The 17,336-nt window shown below is 44.3% G+C and overlaps 1 protein-coding gene across 24 annotated transcripts in view, besides 6 other annotated features; it reads right to left on the bottom strand.

Moving 5' to 3' along the window:
• Positions 1-17,336, bottom strand: part of POM121 (POM121 transmembrane nucleoporin) — a 72,103-nt gene that overhangs the window by 13,159 nt on the left and 41,608 nt on the right. For 20 of the 24 annotated variants that reach the window (NM_001257190.3, NM_001387688.1, NM_001367610.1 and 17 more), the window contains 4 exons: positions 11,824-12,039; positions 11,338-11,499; positions 9,836-9,916; positions 8,190-8,361 (listed from right to left, as the gene is read on the bottom strand). In NM_001257190.3, the coding sequence (NP_001244119.1) occupies positions 8,190-8,361; positions 9,836-9,916; positions 11,338-11,499; positions 11,824-11,888 (480 nt within the window). In that variant the 5' untranslated portion in view covers positions 11,889-12,039. Of the gene's footprint in view, positions 1-8,189; positions 8,362-9,835; positions 9,917-11,337; positions 11,500-11,823; positions 12,040-12,535; positions 13,207-17,336 lie in introns of those variants that run through there. The other 4 variants (NM_001387691.1, NM_001387692.1, NM_001387693.1 and 1 more) reach the window with 1 other exon arrangement.
• Positions 4,044-4,234: a silencer, noted in NCBI's record as "fragment chr7:72404605-72404795 (GRCh37/hg19 assembly coordinates)". NCBI's record gives its function as "represses an EF-1alpha promoter that drives an FKBP-Casp9 reporter gene in an ReSE screen in K562 erythroleukemia cells {active_cell/tissue: K562}" and the evidence as "EXISTENCE:reporter gene assay evidence [ECO:0000049][PMID:32094911]".
• Positions 10,865-12,064: an enhancer, noted in NCBI's record as "BRD4-independent group 4 enhancer chr7:72396775-72397974 (GRCh37/hg19 assembly coordinates)". NCBI's record gives its function as "activates an origin of replication core promoter dependent on BRD2, P300/CBP, MED14 and CDK7 cofactors, and independent of BRD4, by STARR-seq in HCT116 cells {active_cell/tissue: HCT116}" and the evidence as "EXISTENCE:reporter gene assay evidence [ECO:0000049][PMID:35650434]".
• Positions 12,498-13,058: an enhancer, noted in NCBI's record as "H3K27ac hESC enhancer chr7:72395781-72396341 (GRCh37/hg19 assembly coordinates)". NCBI's record gives its function as "activates a minimal SCP1, AML or CMV promoter by ChIP-STARR-seq in primed H9 embryonic stem cells {active_cell/tissue: H9 hESC(primed)}" and the evidence as "EXISTENCE:reporter gene assay evidence [ECO:0000049][PMID:30033119]".
• Positions 13,012-13,121: a silencer, noted in NCBI's record as "silent region_18242". NCBI's record gives its function as "represses an Ori minimal core promoter by ATAC-STARR-seq in GM12878 lymphoblastoid cells {active_cell/tissue: GM12878}" and the evidence as "EXISTENCE:reporter gene assay evidence [ECO:0000049][PMID:35858748]".
• Positions 13,012-13,620: a biological region, named in NCBI's record as "H3K27ac hESC enhancer GRCh37_chr7:72395219-72395780".
• Positions 13,059-13,620: an enhancer, noted in NCBI's record as "H3K27ac hESC enhancer chr7:72395219-72395780 (GRCh37/hg19 assembly coordinates)". NCBI's record gives its function as "activates a minimal SCP1, AML or CMV promoter by ChIP-STARR-seq in primed H9 embryonic stem cells {active_cell/tissue: H9 hESC(primed)}" and the evidence as "EXISTENCE:reporter gene assay evidence [ECO:0000049][PMID:30033119]".

Genomic DNA, 17,336 nt, shown 5'->3' with positions numbered 1-17,336 from the left:
GAGCTGAGATTGCCCCACTGCACTCCAGCCTGGGTGACAGAGTGAGACCCTGTCTCAAAAAAAAAAAAAGAAAAGAAAATGAAAAAAATTTGTTTGTGAAGAAAGACCCCTGAAAAGAAAGTCAACTGCCAGTATTAATTATGAAAGCAAAAGAAGAAAAGTCTATAAAAGTAATGGAATGCGAATAAAGGTAGAAGGGATGGACACACTTTTGCATATATTAGGTGGAACGTTAGCCTCAGTAATGAAGAGCCAGGACACATTCAAACCTGTGCCAGACTGTCTACGGAGAGGATAGAAGTAAATTAAAGAAGATAACCCAGTAAACTAATTTAGTCTTGCTTCTATTAAATTTTCTATTTTAATTTACTAACTTCATTTTAAAAATATGCTGTCGTAACGTTTATGACTTTTGCAACAACGATGGCATTTATCATCATGTGATGATTATCCATACATCTGCCTCTTCCACCAGGTGAGTTCTTGACAGCAAAGACGGTGTTTTCATCTCTGCTTCCTCCACAGACCAGCAGCAAAGTAGATGGCACAGAGCGGACACTGCAAATAGTCTCGTAAGTGCTGAGCCTAATTACAAAGCCACTAAACTGTCACCTCAGACCGTCTTTCCTACTTGAAAAGCTGCTAGTGATTTCTTACCCAGTACCAGCTACATCATATAAGTACAAACAGGAAGCCAGCAATGCTTAATAAGAGTTCAAAAAGGGAAAAGAGGAAGCTTCAGACAAGTGGTAAGCAGCAGAACAGTTCAGTGAGGCCACCATCAGGAAGCCGGGCCCAGGAGGAGCTTGAGAAGACTGCTCACGGCAATAACAGTTGAAGTTACGCTCAAACAGCAAGAAAGGCCAGAGCACAATGGTTTAAAAAACATGGGATTACAGGCATATAAAAGAGCAGAATACAAAAATTCATCAAAGGGATCCAAGGATTGAATATATAAGCGGCATTTTCAATCACTTCAGATCCCTGACACTACCTCACTGGTTCTCAAAGGACGGCTCAGTCACCTGTGGAACTTTTTTTTTTTTTGAGACGGAGCCTTGCTCTGTTACCAGGCTGGAGTGCAGTGGCGCGATCTCAGCTCACTGCAACCTCCGCCTCCCTGGTTCAAGCGATTCTCCTGCCTCAGCCTCCCGAGTAGCTGGGACTACAGGAACATGCCACCACACCCAGCTAATTTTTGTATCTTTAGTAGAGACAGGGTTTCACCATGTTGGCCAGGATGGTCTTGATCTCTTGACCTCGTGATCTGCCTGCCTTGGCCTCCAAAAGTGCTGGGATTACAGGCGTGAGCCACCACACCTAGCCACCTGTGGAACTTTAAAAGCACATAGATGGCCGAGTGCGGTGGCTCACACCTGTAATCCTAGCACTTTCAGAACTGAGGCAGGAGAACTGCTTGAGCCCAGGAGTTTCGGACCAGCCTGGGCAACATAGCAAGACCTTACCTGTAGTTAAAGTAATAAAATTAAAACAATAAAAACCATAAACCTTGCATTTTTCTTCACAATGTGCTCCAGACACTGAGGGATACACATCACTGAGCAAGCAAGGGTCAGAAATGCCAAAGGGGCCAGACGAGGTGGCTCACACCTGTAATCCTAGCACTTCAGGAGGCTGAGGCAGGAGGATCACCTGAGGTCAGGAATTCCAGACCAGCATGGCCAACATGGTGAAACCTCATCTCTTCTAGAAATACAAAAACAAGCTGGGCACGGTGGCTGACGCCTGTAATCCCACCACTTTGGGAGGCCAAGGTGGGCGGATCACGAGGTCAGGAGATTGAGACCATCCTGGCTAACATGGTGAAACCCCGTCTCTACTAAAAATACAAAAAATTAGCCGGGTGTGGTGGCAGGTGCCTGTAGTCCCAGCTACTTGGGAGTCTGAGGCAGGAGAATGGCTGGGAGACAGAGCAAGACTCCGTCTCAAAAAAAAAAAGGAATACAAAAATTAGCCAGGTGTGGTGGTGCATGCCTGTAATCCCAACACTTTGGGAGGCCAAGGTGGGAGGATCACTTGAGCCCAAGAGTTTTGAGACCAGCCTAGGTAACATAGTGAAGTCTCATCTCTACCAAGAAAAAATAAAGAAAAAACAGAAATGCCAAAGGAGACTGTAATGATTAGCTAGGACTGGAAGACAACTGAACAACTGGTTTAACAATTAGGGGAAAAAAGTATTACTCCTCTACTTCATTGACTGTACATACACACTCATTTCAGATCTAACAAGACAAGGATGTTTATTATCATGTCTATTCAACTTAAAGTCCTAGCCAAGTGCAGCAAGACATAAACAGAATAAGATTGCAGAGGAAAGGAAAAACTCATTATCATAGACCTGAGTGTATGTACTAAAATCCTAAAGAACATACAGATTTAGCAAACTTTCTGAATACAAAATCAGTTGTATTTCTACACACCAGCACAGCCAATCACATTTTGAAGGCACTATTTAGAATAGCATATATGAAGGCACTATTTAGAATAGCATATACCTAGGGCCAGGCGCCGTGGCTCACGCCTGTAATCTCAGCACTTTGGGAGGCAGAGGCAGGTGGATCACCTGAGGTCAGGAGTTTGAGATCAGCCTGGCCAACAAGGTGAAACCCTGTCTCTACTAAAACTACAAAAATTCGCCAGGTGTGGTGGCACGTGCCTGTAATCTCAGCTACTCGGAAGTCTGAGGCTGGAGAATCACTTGAACCCAGCAGGTGGAGGCTGCAGTGAGCCGAGATTGTAAATCTAATAAAAAAGAAGTAAAACCTCTACAGAGAAGAAATAGAGATGATGTAAATAAATGAAGGAGGCAGGACATGGTGGCTCACGCCTACAATCCCAGCACTCAGGGAGGCCAAGGTGGGAAGATTGCTTGAGCTCAGGAGTTTGAGACCAGCCTAGGCAACATAGTGAGACTGTGTCTCTATTATAAGTTTTTAAAAATTAGCTAGGTGTGGTGATGCATGCCTGTGGTCCCAGCTACTCAAGAGGCTGAGGCAGGAGAATCGCTTGAGCCTGGGAGTTCAAGGCAGTAGTGAGCTATGATCATGTCACTGCACTCCAGCCTGGGCCACAGAGCAAGACCCCTTGTCTCAAAAGTTAAATAAATAAATAACGACATTCCATGTTCATAGATTAGAAGTAAACAAGGTCAATATTGTAACAATGTTAATTCCATCCAAAGTAATCAGTAGATGAAAGGCAATCCCAATCAGTATCTCAGAACTTTTTTTTTTTTTTGTGGAAATTGACAAGTTGATCTAAAAATTATATGAAAATGCAAAAGGCCAAGATACAAGACAGTCCTGAAGAGAAATGAGAAAGTGGGATGACTGACTCTATCAAGACTTAAAGTATAAGGCTAGGGGTAAAACAAAGACTGGCACAAGGGTAGGTAGAAAAATAGACCAATGGAACAAAACAGAGTCTAGAAATGGACCCACATATATACAGACACTTAAATTAGACAAAGACGGTGCTGCAGAGAAATAAGGATGGTCCTTTCAATAAATGTTGCTAAGAGAAATGGGTATTTCTACAGTAAAAAACAACAACAACAACAACAAAAACCACCAACACCACCAAACACAAAAAAAACTAATTTTGATTCCAACCTCACACCATATACAAAAATTAATTTCAGGTGGTTTATGGATTTACATATAAAAGTAATAATAAAATAATAAAGCTTCTAGAAGGTAGCACAGAAGAAAATTATCATGACCTTAGGTTAGGTAGGCAAAGATTTCCTGAATACTACACAAAGTATGCTAACCACAAGGAAGTAGAATGGCAAGAGCAGGACACTTTTTTGTTGCAACACATACATGACAGACAGCTTGTATCTAGAACATATAAAGAGCGTATTCAAATCTCTAAGAAAAAGACAACAACTTGGGGCCAGGTGTGGTGGCTCACGCCTGTAATCCCAGCACTTCGGGAGGCCAAGGCGGACGGATCACCTGAGGTCACGAGTTCGAGACCATCCTAGCCAACATGGTGAAAACCCATCTCTACTAAAAATACAAAAATTAGCCGGGCATGGTGGTGGGTGCCTGTAATCCCAGCTACTTGGGAGGCTGAGACTGGGGAATTGCTTGAACCCAGGAGGTGGAGGTTGCAGTGAGCCAAGGTCACAGCACTGCACTCCAGCCCGGGCGACAGTGCGAGACTCTGTCTCAAAAGAAAGAAAAAAAAAAAGACTGTACAGTAAAAAGTAAATTTCCTTTTTATCTCAGTAATGATTGCCAGTTTTTAATATATCCTGTAAGAATTATTTTATGCATATTAAAAGATTTTTAAAAGCCCGAATAATAGAGGATACTATACAGTTCTGAGCCTTGTTTTTATGTAATTGCTTTTTGAGATCATTCTCATGAGTACTTCTTCAGTTGCCTTATTCTTTTTCATAGTTACATAGTATATTCCAACTTACACCAATACTGTAAGTTATTCAGTCAGCTCCCTGAAAAGATAACATGTACATTGTTTCCAAGCTGCTATTATTAAAACAATGTTACATTAAATCCTTGTATCCATTTCCCAGTATGTGTGTAGGATAACTTCCTAAAGGTAAAGCTGCTTGATCAAAGGGTGCATGTATCTCTTATGTGGACAATTCCTGTCACAAAGCCCTCTAGAGAGCTGTACCAACTGACACTCCCACCAGCAACGCGTGAGGAGCCTGTTTCTTCTAACACTGCACTTCTATGGTTTCTATTTTACGTTCAAAACTTTGCTTCATTTGGAATAGGTTTCTCTACTATAGGAAAAACTCTTGAACATGAGATTTGGCTGGTAGCCCTTCAGAAAAATGGGTAAAGGATATGAACTAAGACTCATGGAAACAGAACTGAAAATAATCATTCAACATATGAACAGATGATCAAACTACTCATAAGAGACAAAAATTAGATACCTTTTTTTCTTTGAGACAGAATCTCACTCTGTCGTCCAGGCTGGAGGGCAGTGGCGTGAGCTCGGCTCACTTGACCTCTGCCTTTCAGGGTCAAGCAGTTCTCCTGCCTCAGCCTCCCAAGTAACTGGGATTACAGGCACACACGACCACGCCTGGCTAAATTTTTTGTATTTTTAGTAGCAACCGGTTTTTGCCACGTTGGCCAGGCTGGTCTCAAACTCCGGATTTCAGGTGATCCACCTGCCTCAGCCTCCCAAAGTGCTGGGATTACAGGTGTAAGCCACCAAGCTCGGCTGGCTTTTTTTTTTTTTTTGAGACAGAGTCTCACTCTGTCGCCCAGGCTGGAGTGGAGTGGCGCTATCTCTGCTCACTGCAACCCCTGCCTCCCAGGTTCCTGATATTCTCCTTCCTCAGCCTCCTGAGTAGCTGGGATTACAGGCATGTGCCACCATGCCCAGCTAATTTTTATGTTTTTAGTAGAGACAGGATTTCACCATGTTGGCTAGGATGATCTCGAACTCCTGACCTCCAGTGATCTGCCTTCCTCGGCCTCTCAAAGTGCTGGGATTACAGGCATGAGCTGCCACGCCTGTCTTAGATACTATTTTTAACCTGTGAAATTGGTAAAAGCCCAGAGCTACAATAACCAAATCTGCTGGTGAGGCCATGGAGAAATGGTCCCTCTCATACAACGCTGAGGGGAATGCTGAGTGGTGCATGCTCTGTAGGGGGATTTAACAATATCCAGCAAAATTACATGCGCATTTAACCTTTGACCTGGGAATCTGACTTCTAGGAACTTTCCAGAGGCAAAATTGCCAAGGATGAAATGACATATGAACAAATGTATTCTTTGCAGCATTATTTGTGATAGCAGAAGACTGAAACAACCCAACATTTGTCAACAGAGGACTAAAGTACCTATGCAGTTTTAAGACCAAAGATGAGTTTCTGTGTACTGCTATGGAATGACCTCAACTATCTATTATGTGAAAAAGCAAGGTTCAAATCTGTATATACTGTCTACTACCTTAAATGTTAGAAGGTGGCGGTTTTCAGATACACTGATATGCATACCGTTTAAAAAACAATAAAGGATAATCAAAAAATAAAAATGGAGAGGAAGGAAAAATGTAGAGTGGAAAGGGATGGAAACTGAATTTTTGAGTGTATCTTGTTTTAGTGTATTTTTTTTGAAACAACTTATTGTTTCAAAGATTTTACATAATTTAAAACAGAACTATTTCAAAAAGGAAAACACAGAAATCCCTGTAACTTTCAAACATACTGAACAAACGAACCTCACTGTATATAAAGTTGGTGTACCCAAAGGACAATTAACATTACTTTAAAACACGATATATTGATTACATGTCCGTAGCATTCACACAGGGATATAAAGACAAATGAATCACAATTCTTAAACTGACTTCAGCCGTCTTAATAATGACAGTGTTAACAATGACACTGATACCGCTATTTTGAAATTGCATGGGCCAGGCGTGGTGGCTCATGCCTGTAATCCCAGCACTTTGGGAGGCCAAGGTGGGTGGATCACCTGAGGTCACGAGTTCGATGCCAGCCTGGCCAACATGGTGAAATCTCGTCTCTACTAAAAATACAAAAATTAGCTGGGCATGGTGGCGGGCACCTATAGTCTCAACTACTTGGGAGGCTGAGGCAGGAGAATCGCTTGAACTCAGGAAGCGGAGATTGCAGTGAGTCAAGGTCGCACCACTGTGCTCCAGCCTGGGCGACAAGAGTAAGACTCCGGCAAAAAAAAAAAAAAAGAAATTGCGTGTTACTAGGATCAAAGTAATTATAAACCGACATTTTTGGTGTAATACATAAAAATATAAAATCAAATAAATTACATAAAAAATCCTACTATCATAAATTTGAATTTGGAATATTATGAATTATTTATATTCCCCTTTCTAGAGGATCTGTCTATCTTATCTCTCCTAAAACTTAGACTGTAGTCTCTACAGTTCTAACTGGAAGAAACCAAAGCTTTCTGAAGAAACACCCAACTTCGGTATAGGCTAAAAATGGACTTTGGGAAGGTGGGCAAAAAGCAATGAAGCTATCTGTCGAAGACTGCTGGGATCAAAATAAAGGATACAGGAGCCAGTTTGGAACCCATAGTCCAAAGCTGGAAAAGTTTGCATATCAAAAATAATAACTAGATATTAAATAATATTAATTATCCCTCTTAAATTATTAAGAGGGATAATGATATTACGGTCATTAATGTTCATTTATATGACTGTCAGAGCCTTCTGGGCTGATGAACTCGTCTCAAAATCTTCCTCCTCTCAAAAACATTTCTCCATACATGCTTTACATCTTTTTGTCTGGCTGCTGTATACTGGGTACCCACTTACTGACAGCCACTGTAATAGGTGCTTTTTAAATATTACCCTCAATCACTGCAACAGCACTTCAGAGATAAGAAAAAGAGATGTTATGTGATTGTCTGCCCAAGACCTTATAGCTACTAGATGTCAGAGCCAAGCATTTTTTTCCTTTTCTTTGAGACACAGTCTTGCTCTGTTGCACAGGCTAGTCTTGAACTCCTGGACTCAAGAGGTTCTCCCACCTTGACCTCCCAAAGTGATGGGATTACAGGCATGAGCCATCCCGCCCAGCCTCAGAGCCAAGATTTGAATCTAAGTCTGTCCAGCAGCAAAGCCTGCCCTGTTCCCTATACTATGCGATAATCCCTTTTCCAAAAAATCATGACCACTTGTTTAAAAACCCCGCTTTCAATTCTAAACGCCTATAAGATAAATCTCTTTTACGACCCAATACAAGCTGGACTCAGTCTACCTTTCGAATCACCCTCTGTCCGTTTATCTACAACACAGCTCTGTCTCGAATCAGCTCGCACACATGCACTGCTGTACATTCTGGGCTTTCTACTCCATTCCGCTGGCCTATATTGATCACTCAATGATCTGTATTTTCTATTAGCTTAAAGACAATTCTAATGTCTGACAGATAGAAGGTGATCAGTAAACCTTTGCTAATCAATTACTTTATTTAAAAAATTTTCTTTAAAAATTCTTTTGTACAGACAAGGTTTCACTATATTGCCCAGGCTGGTTTTGAACTCCTGGGCTCAAGCAATCCTCCCGCTTTGGCCTTCCAAAGTGCTGGGATTACATGGCTAAGCTACCATGTCTGGCCCTAGTCAATGAATGAACGCTGGGAATTCATGTCCCCCACATTAAAAGAGCTGTACTTGTACCTGTGAGATGCCTCGAGTGGAGCTGTAGGAACTGGTAATGGCATTGCGGCTGGAGCTAGGGATGCCACTTGCGTAAGCGCCTGTCAAGGAGCTCATGGAAGAGCTTCGGGATCTCTTATTCAAGTGGTCATCTGAGCTCTGAGAATTGAGGCCTCTCTTCAGAGACCCAGGCCTAATAAAAGAGAAGACAGTTAGATGCTTTATTGAAGGCAAAATTCTTTTACGATTTCATCCACGGTCATGACATCTTTCTTAATAACATGAAGGGAAGAGAATAATGCTTTTAATTTTTACTGCTAACAATCTGGCCAAATCTATCTGACAAAGTCAGTAAGAAAAGCCAAATATTTAAAACTTAAATGTATGATTTCCATTTATAGAATATTCTGGAAAATGCATACCTATCTACAGTGACAGAAGACAGATCAGTGGATGCCTGGGAACAGGGGTGGAAGTAAAGAGAGGGATTACAGGCATGTGGGAACTTTTGGAGGTGAAGGATGTTCATTATCTTAGTGGTGGGATGGTTCCACAGGTGTATGTGTGTCAAAATGTCACATGCTTTAAACAAGTACGGTCTATTTTATGTCAATTATATCTCAACAAAGCTATTAAAAAAAAATCAGAGTTAAGAGGAACCCATCATTTTACTAAACCTCCAATGGAAACAGAAATCTCCTACGCATCTTTTCTGTAGGACAGTCATCCAACCTGTTACAATATAGACAACTCTCTCCTAGAGTGACCCACGTCAACCATGAACCAGTTTATTCTTACAGTGGATTACAGTGTATTTCCTCTTTCACCCACGGATCCTATTTGAAGTCAAACAGAGCAAGTTATTTTGCTTCTTTCAAGGGACAGTCCTTTGGTTTTTTGGAGACCATTGTCCTTCCCTCACTTATTTCTTTATTCCCCCTGAGACTTTTCTCCTCTGGGCTAATACTTCCATACCTCCAAAACCCCAACATCCACCACCACCCCTTTGGGCTGTTGCAAATCTCCTTAACATCTTCATTGCTTCACTGGGAATGAATTTCCGTTTGTGTACATCCTCCCTCGCAGTGCAGTACACTGATCTGACCACAGTGCTCCACGGACAGTGAGCAGAACTACGGAAGGCAGGAATACCATCCACCTGCCTCATTCTAGTCTTTCTTCTAACAGCACAGACCAGGAGCACTTTAGCTTTCCTGGCGGCCACATCACACTGCTGACTCAGATGAGGTACCTAAGGTATCCTAAGTCTTTCCACACATACTTTTGAGCCACTTTCCTTTCCACCCAATTCTTCCTCCAATTTGTTTTTAAACTGACATGTAGAAATTTAACATTTAGGTTTCATACTGTTTTATCCACTGCACAAACTTTGCAATCCTTCTGTGTATGTGCTTGGTTATTAAATATATTTATAAAACCTCTTAAGTCTCAGCATATTTCATCCATATTAATGCAAGAACATTAAAAGGAATTAGACAGAAGGCAGTTAACTGTGGCAAGTTACTCAAAACGTTCCTAATTTCAAAGACGTGAACCTGAACCAATTAAGCAATGCAAAAAACAAAGAGGAAAATCTATAGGGCAACAGCTCTGATCAGGCCTTTTTCCAAACAGTTGGTATTTCATCCGGATGGACTCCCACTTACTTAGGCACAAAAGAAGCGGGGACTCCATTGGCCACCAGGGGCTCAAATGCTGAATGTCCACTGCCACTGCTATCATGGCGCCTGCGACAAATCAAAAAAGTCTCAATGAAATGACATGACTTTTTTTGTCCCTTTAAAGTGTATTCTCATATTTCTGGGACCTTATACTATCTCTATGGAGCACAGATTCCATGATAGACCAGAAAATGGTTGTTTAAAATCCCTAAGCTTCTGAAAGGTAAATTTTTTTTTTTTCAGACAGAGTTTCGCTCTTGTTGCCCAGGCTGGAGTGCAATAGCACGATCTTGGCTCACTGCAACAAACCTCTGCCTCCTGGGTTCAAGCGATTCTCCTGCCTCAGCCTCCAGAGTAGCTGGGACTACAGGTATGCACCACCACACCTGGCTAATTTCTTAATTTTTTGTAGAGGCGAGGTCTCACTATGTTGCCCAGGCTGGTCTTGAGCAACTGGGCTCCAGCGATCCTCCCATCTTGGCCTGTCAAAGTGTTAGGAGTACAAGCGTGCAGCACCACACCCAGCCTTATAAAATGGTGTTTCCCTCAAGAGTCCCATGAGAGCAGGGATTTTGTCTTGTCCACCGCTCTATCCATAGCACTTGGAGTAGGGTCCCATACACAGTGGGTGCTCAATAAATGCTCAGCCACTTCAACTTCCTTTCTTTCTATACTTAGAAAACTATTTATTTATTCCATTTTCATTAGCTTATTCTATAAACCACATAAGGATTTTTTTTTTTTGGAGACAGTCTCGCTTTGTCACCCAGGCTGGAGTATGGTGGCAGTCTCAGCTCACTGCAACCTCCGCCTCCTGGGTTCAAGCAATTCTCCTGTCTCAGCCTTCCGAGTAGCTGGGATCACAGGCGCCCACCACCACATCCAGCTAATTTTTGAATTTTTAGTAGAGATGGGGTTTCACCATGTTGGCCAGGCTGGTCTCGAACTCCTGACCTCAGGTGATCCACCCGTGTCGGCCTCTCAAAGTGCTGAGATTACAGGCCTGAGCCACCTTGCCCTGCCAGGAAATTGGTTTTAACCTCATTACTGATAAATCTACCAAACTCTAGTTTTCATTTTTCTTTCACAAGCATTTCCTTCAGCACAATTAAGACACTGGAACATGGAACTGGTGGTTACCCAAGTAACTGAACACCACAAAATTCCGACGGGAAGACTTAGAGCCTTCTTTCTTGAAAATAAACTTTAACACATTTCTACAAAAGTATGAGGGTAGCGTGGCTAATAGCAGTCAGCTTATCTCTACTACTCACGGAAAAGGTAAATTACAACATCGATCTAACCTGTGCCTTGAAAAGAGCAGCATTAAAACCCTTGTTATTAGATTCCTCCATGTAAGCCAAAGAAGGGGGCCTACGAAGGCTCATAAACTGGAGATGGCCTCTGTATCTATATGGGAATGTCTACATCTCATCCCATAGGAGTCCAAGCGCGAAACCGGCTTAGTACTCTCCTGAGCCTGTTACCTTCTTTTATTTTCCTGGCCATCAAGGAATATTTGGTCTTCTTCCTCCACTGTCCTTTTCTTCTCCTTCTCTTTGAGGGCACTCAGTACTGTCTCCTTTGCACATGGGTCTGGGGCGTTACTTGATGGTGAGGACAGTGTTGAGCTGATTATCTGCTCTGGTCTACAATGAAAGACAAGATTCTAGCTGTAAGATATTTTAATTCCCATGCCATATAGCACAGACTTCAGAAACAAGAAATCAGAAGCTAACCAACAGGCCAAAGTATAATTTATACACTCACAGCAGTTCCCGTTAGCAAGTAAAGCTACTTTTTCGTTAAGAGCAAAAAGTGAAAAACAAAAGGGTTTACTAGAATTTGGTATTTCTCATCAAATAAGCAGCTTCGTCCTTTCTTTTCTGCGTTGTAGTCATGTCATAGGAACAACTGGAGAAGAATAAAGTGGACACGAAAAGGGAGAGTATTCTTCCAACGATAATACTCACATCGCAGAACGCGAAAATCTTCTGTCAGGAGGGGCGATCCTCACAGTCACTGGGCTACACACCATCCTGGAGTTGCGAGGGGACAGCACAGCCTTCTTGTGATAACCATTCCAGCACACGGTGGGAAGTACCCCCAGACAGGAATACTGGGCCTGATGGATCGGATAGCGTCTTCTAGGTGTTATTACAAACCGATTTGGTAAAGTCCCACAATCCCTGCAGAGAATGCGAGACAAATCACGGAACCAAAGCAAAAAAGAATGTCAAATTTTTAAACGGTTAAAAACCCACCAGTTCAGACATTTTCCAAAGAACTTAAGTCTCTTTCTAAGCAACACAGAACACGGTGTTTTTATGGCAACTTTCCCTTATTCCATCTAAGGCCAGAGAGTGACAGCTGCTTAACAGCTGTCTCAACAATGGATTTCAACAGTTTGAGAGGGAAAATCTAAATCTAGACTACATCTAGGCTGCACTAAAATTCGAGGAGTTTTTAGAACTGGAAAGAAGAGAATCGTTTTGGCAACACAACATCTCATTCCAAGAGTCAGAGGCCAGGAGACAGCTGGCACACACCAAGGTGTTAAGGAGGGCAAAACCACACACAATCCCCTTGGGACTTGATGAAAAAGCAAATCGGATTTAAAAGTCAAGTCCTCGATTTCAAGCCAGCCGAGCCAGAGGATGATCTGACAAAATCAGCGCATCTTACCGTGGGGAAGGCCTCCTGGAGGGTCGGAGAAGAGGAGTGGGCAGAGAGGGGTAAACGTGGTGAGCGCGATGGGTCGGCGGGGAGGGCGGGGGGGAGCGCGGCGGTGGGGAGCGCGGCGGTGGGGAGCGCGGCGCCGGGCGGGCAGGTGGGCGGCGGCCAGGCCTATCCCGCAGGTCCTGGCCCTCCGGAGCGGCGGCGGGCTGCGGCGGCCCGGGCTTGCCCAGGTAACTGCCCATGAGTAGCAGTTCCGCAGGGTCAGGTCCTTCGAGCAGGGTCCGCGGCTCTAGGAGGTTTCCGTTGGCTGTCGACTTGGCCAGAGGCGAAGCGAACAGTGTTCGCCGATGACGCGCCTTCCGAACGAAGGAGGACAAGGGGCGCCGATGACGCGCCTTCCGAACGAAGGAGGACAAGGGGCGCGAACCTCGGGGCTCGCGGCTCAGTCCCCACCAGGCCGCGGTAGCCCCCACGGTCAGCCAGGCCAGTGCAGCCGCAGCCGGCACGAGGTACAGTAAGAGGCCAACCAGCGACAGGCCCAGGAGCACCGCCCTGGCCGGCCCGCCGCAGCCCCGGCCCCGGCCGTCCCTGACACTCGCTATGGGCCGCCGCCGCTCGCCTGCTCCAGCCGCCGCAGCCGCCGGAGACATCGCGGCTCCGCGCCGCGGAGGAGACTTAAATATCCCAGCGTGCACCGCGCCGCGCGTCGCGTCATCGCGCGCCCTCTACGTCATGCGCGCGCGACTCCGGGAGACGCTACCGCCCGGCAGCGCCCGAGACCCAACTGGTTTGGAAAATGCCGCCTGCCTTTAACGCCTGTTTCTGACTCTTGAGGTTTTCCGCGTGGCTCCCAGCGCCACATCCATCCGGAGGCGATCCCGTGGAAGGATCGCGTCCAAGATAAAAGGGCCCGAGACCTATGCTTACGTAATTCCTAATCCGTGATCTTTTATGGGGGCTGAATTCCCCTCCAGCACAGCCTGTTACCAGGTACTTTTCACAAACGCTACTAGCGGTTGTGAGTCCCTCCCCCCTCCATTTCTATGTTACAAATTGAAAACGTGGGACGATTACCTACCAAATTTCACATCATGGCCCAGATATCGGGTGGATTTTGTGGCTCTGTGATCGACTTATACCTATGCTAAAGTTAACGGTCTGAGAAGGTAGATTAGTGGTTGCCTAGGGCTAGGGAGTGGGTTTGGGGGTGGGGAATAGAAAGTGACTGGTCATGGTTATAGGCTTTTTTGTAGCACCATAAAGATAGTTTAAAATTAGATTGTGGTGGTGATTGCACCACCCTATGATTTGCATGGTATGTGAATTATATCTTAATAAAGCTGTTTAAAAAGTCTGGTAGTCTGCCAATACACTTTGGTGTAGTTCAGTTTCCTCAGCCATTCATTCATTGATTTATTCATTCCATTGTTTATGTACATTAAAGAGATTAAGGGGGAAAATATAGGATCTCTGATCTTTAGAAACTGTTTAGTTAGGAAGATGTGTAAGTAGAAGATTGCAATTCAGGCCGGGCGCGGTGGCTCACGCCTGTAATCCCAGCACTTTGGGAGGCCGGGGTGGGCGGATCACAAGGTCAGGAGATCGAGACCATCCTGGCTAACATGGTGAAACCCCGTCTCTAATAAAAATACCAAAAAAAAAAAACTTAGCCGGGCGTGCCGCCTGTAGTCCCAGCAACTTGGGAGGCTGAGGCAGGAGAATGGCGTGAACTCGGGAGGCGGAGGTTGCAGTGAGCCGAGATTGCGCCACTGCACTCCAACCTGGGCGACAGACCGAGACTCCGTCTCAAAAAAAGAAAAAAAAATTGCAATTCAGTGTTATCAGTGTGATAACAGGAAAAAAAAATAAGAAGGCCAGGCGCGGTGGCTCGTGCCTGAATTCCAGCACTTTGGAAGGCCGAGGTGGGCGGATCATCTGAGGTCAGGAGTTTGAGACCAGCCTGACCAATATGGTGAAACTCCGTCTCTACTAAAAATACAAAAAATTAGCCGGGCGTAGTGGCGGGCGCCTGTAGTCCCAGCTACTTGGGAGGCTGAGGCAGGAGAATGGCGTGAACCCGGGAGGCGGAGCTTGCAGTGAGCCGAGATCCCGCCACTGCACTCCAGCCTGGGCGACAGAGCGAGACTCCGTCTCAAAAAAAAAAAAAAAAAAAAAAAAAAAATTAGCCGGGCGTGGTGGCGCCTGCCTGTAGTCCCAGCTACTCGGGAGGCTGAGGCAGGAGAATTGCTTGAACCTGGGAGGTGGAGGTTGCAGTGAGCCGAGATCGTGCCACTGCACACTCCAGCCTGGGCTGTCGACAGAGCAAGACTCCGTCTCAAAAAAAAAAGTTATGATAAAGGGGAAGGTAGACAGGGAAGTGCTCCTGGAGCTGAGAGGTCTGGCAGGTTCAAGGCAGATGAAGGAGCACTGTGCAGAAGTCCAGAGATGGAATTGTTCAGTATCGCTGGAGATTAGGGTGTTTAGGGGGATAGAAAAGTTGGAAAGGTATAGATGCCTCTGGGGCAACACAGAGAGATGAGAAGAAAGTGCAGTTTGGGTTCCAGATCCTCCCCAACCCAGTCCCAAAGCAATTCTGCTTCTATTTAATATACTGCGATTTCACATAAGACTTAACTTGAAAAAAAAAGGGGGGGGGGGTTGGGGGGGAGCTGTGTTGCTTAAGAAAAAAATCTCAGTATCAGTAGACTAGTGGGACAAAAGCCAGGCTGCCCTGGGTTGAACAGTGACTGGAAGGTGAAGAAATGGAGGCAGTGACTGCAGACTCCCTACTCAAGAAACCTGGGTAACAGGGGAAGAAGAAACATAGTGTCTAGGTCAGTAGGGGCTCTTTAAACTATTGTGTGTGGCTGGAGTTAAGTGGAGGAGCTACACATAAAAGCCGTCAGGGTACAGATGTCCTGAAACCAAGCAAGATGACTGAGAATTAATGTAAATAGAGAGGTCCATAGCCTGAGCCCTCGGGGCACTCCTGTGTTTAGAGTTCAAGAGATGAACACACAAAGGGCACAAATCATTTAGGAAAATATAGATAAATATGACTACATTAAAAGTTAGCACTTCTGGGCCGGGCATGGTGGCTTACACATAATCTAGCACATTTGGAGGCCAAGGTGGGCGGATCGCTTTGAGCTCAGGAGTTCGAGACCAGCCTAGGCAACATGATAGAACCCAGTCTCTGATAAAAAAAAAAAAAACACAAAAATTTGCCTGGTGCCACGTGCCTGTAGTACCAACTACTCAGGAGGCTGAGGCTGGAGAATCGCTTGAACCCAGAAGGCAGAGGTTGCAGTGAGCCGAGATCGCACCACTGCACTCCAGCCTGGGCAACAGAGTGAGACTCCATCCCCCCAAAAAAAGTTAATACTTCTATATGGGAAAAGACAAGATATGCATCTAAAAGACAAGCCAAGACTGGGAAAAACAACTCTAATACATATAACCAAAAGGGGATTAGTAAGTAGAATTTAAAAAGAACTCCAAAGAATCAATAACAAAAAGATAACCCAATTTTTAAAAAGGACAATTGATACAAAAAAGCTATTGAATGGGAAACACAAATACCTAATAATATACACATATGTGCATATATATACATACACATATACATTTAACCTCACTAGTAATCTAGTAAAGACTAAAGTAACAGGATTTTGCACTCATTTACACACTAGAAAAATTAATTTAACAAGATCAAGTCTTGGTATGGATGTGGAACAAACAGAACTCATGCCGTTGTGGATATATGAAACAGCACAATTTGGAAAGCAATTTGGCAATATCTAGTAAAAAATAAGGGTGAAGAAGTATGTATCCTATAAACCCACAATCCCATTCTGGGTAGATAGTCACTGAAGCATTATTTGTATCACAGACAATTCGAACACACTTCATGGGTAATGTTTATCAACACAAGGATGGGCAAACTGGTATAATTCATATAATAAAATACTATAAAGCAGCTGAAAATTAATCTTTCCAGCTATAGGTTAGTCCTCCTACCATAAACAACTGTAGACATGGACAAAATGTATTGATTAATAAAGCTGTTAAAAAAATCTGGCAGTCTGCTGATCCAGACTTTGGTTTAACGCATGCTGTTGTGGATATATAAAACAGTACAACTTGGCAACTACTTTCAGGCAGAGGACAACAGGAAGCAAAAGACTGATCCCTAAGTGTAAGGAAACTTGTGAGATGAGCCCCAAAGTCACCTAGTTCCTCTACCTGGGGATAATTTCCCAACTGCAGTGCAGAGAGCTGGAGTCTGAGCACAGTAGGGAGATCCCACCGGGCTGAGGAGGCAGAGATCAGGCTGAGATGGCTGAAATGGCAGAGAAATGGGGCAGAAAAAAGAAAGGAGGGCACTATGCAAAGAGGGAGTTCTAGAAATCTATATATGAAACAAACCCACGGCTGAAGGCTGGAGTGATGGGTAATTTCAAGTGTCAACTTGAAGGGACCATGGGGTGCACAGATACTTGGTTGAACATTTATTTATGGGTGTGTCTATAAAGGCATTTCTGGATGAGGTAGTCTTTTCTTTATTTATTTACTGATTTTTATTTTTTGAGATGGCCTGTTGCTCGTTGCCCAGGTTGGAGTGCAGTGGCGCGATCTCGGCTCACTGCAACCTCCGCCTCCCAGGTTCAAGCGATTCTCCTGCCTGAGCCTCAGCAGAGTAGCTGGTATTACAGGCACCCGCCACCACACTCGGCTACTTTTTTGTATTTTTAGTAGAGACTGGGTTTCACCATGTTGGCCAGGCTGGTCTCAAACTGCTGACCTC

Source organism: Homo sapiens, chromosome 7 (genome assembly GCF_000001405.40).
Source record: "Homo sapiens chromosome 7, GRCh38.p14 Primary Assembly".
NCBI lineage: Eukaryota > Metazoa > Chordata > Mammalia > Primates > Hominidae > Homo > Homo sapiens.
The sequence above is the reverse complement of the archived record's forward strand: the minus strand, read 5'-3'. Positions and strand labels throughout refer to the sequence as shown.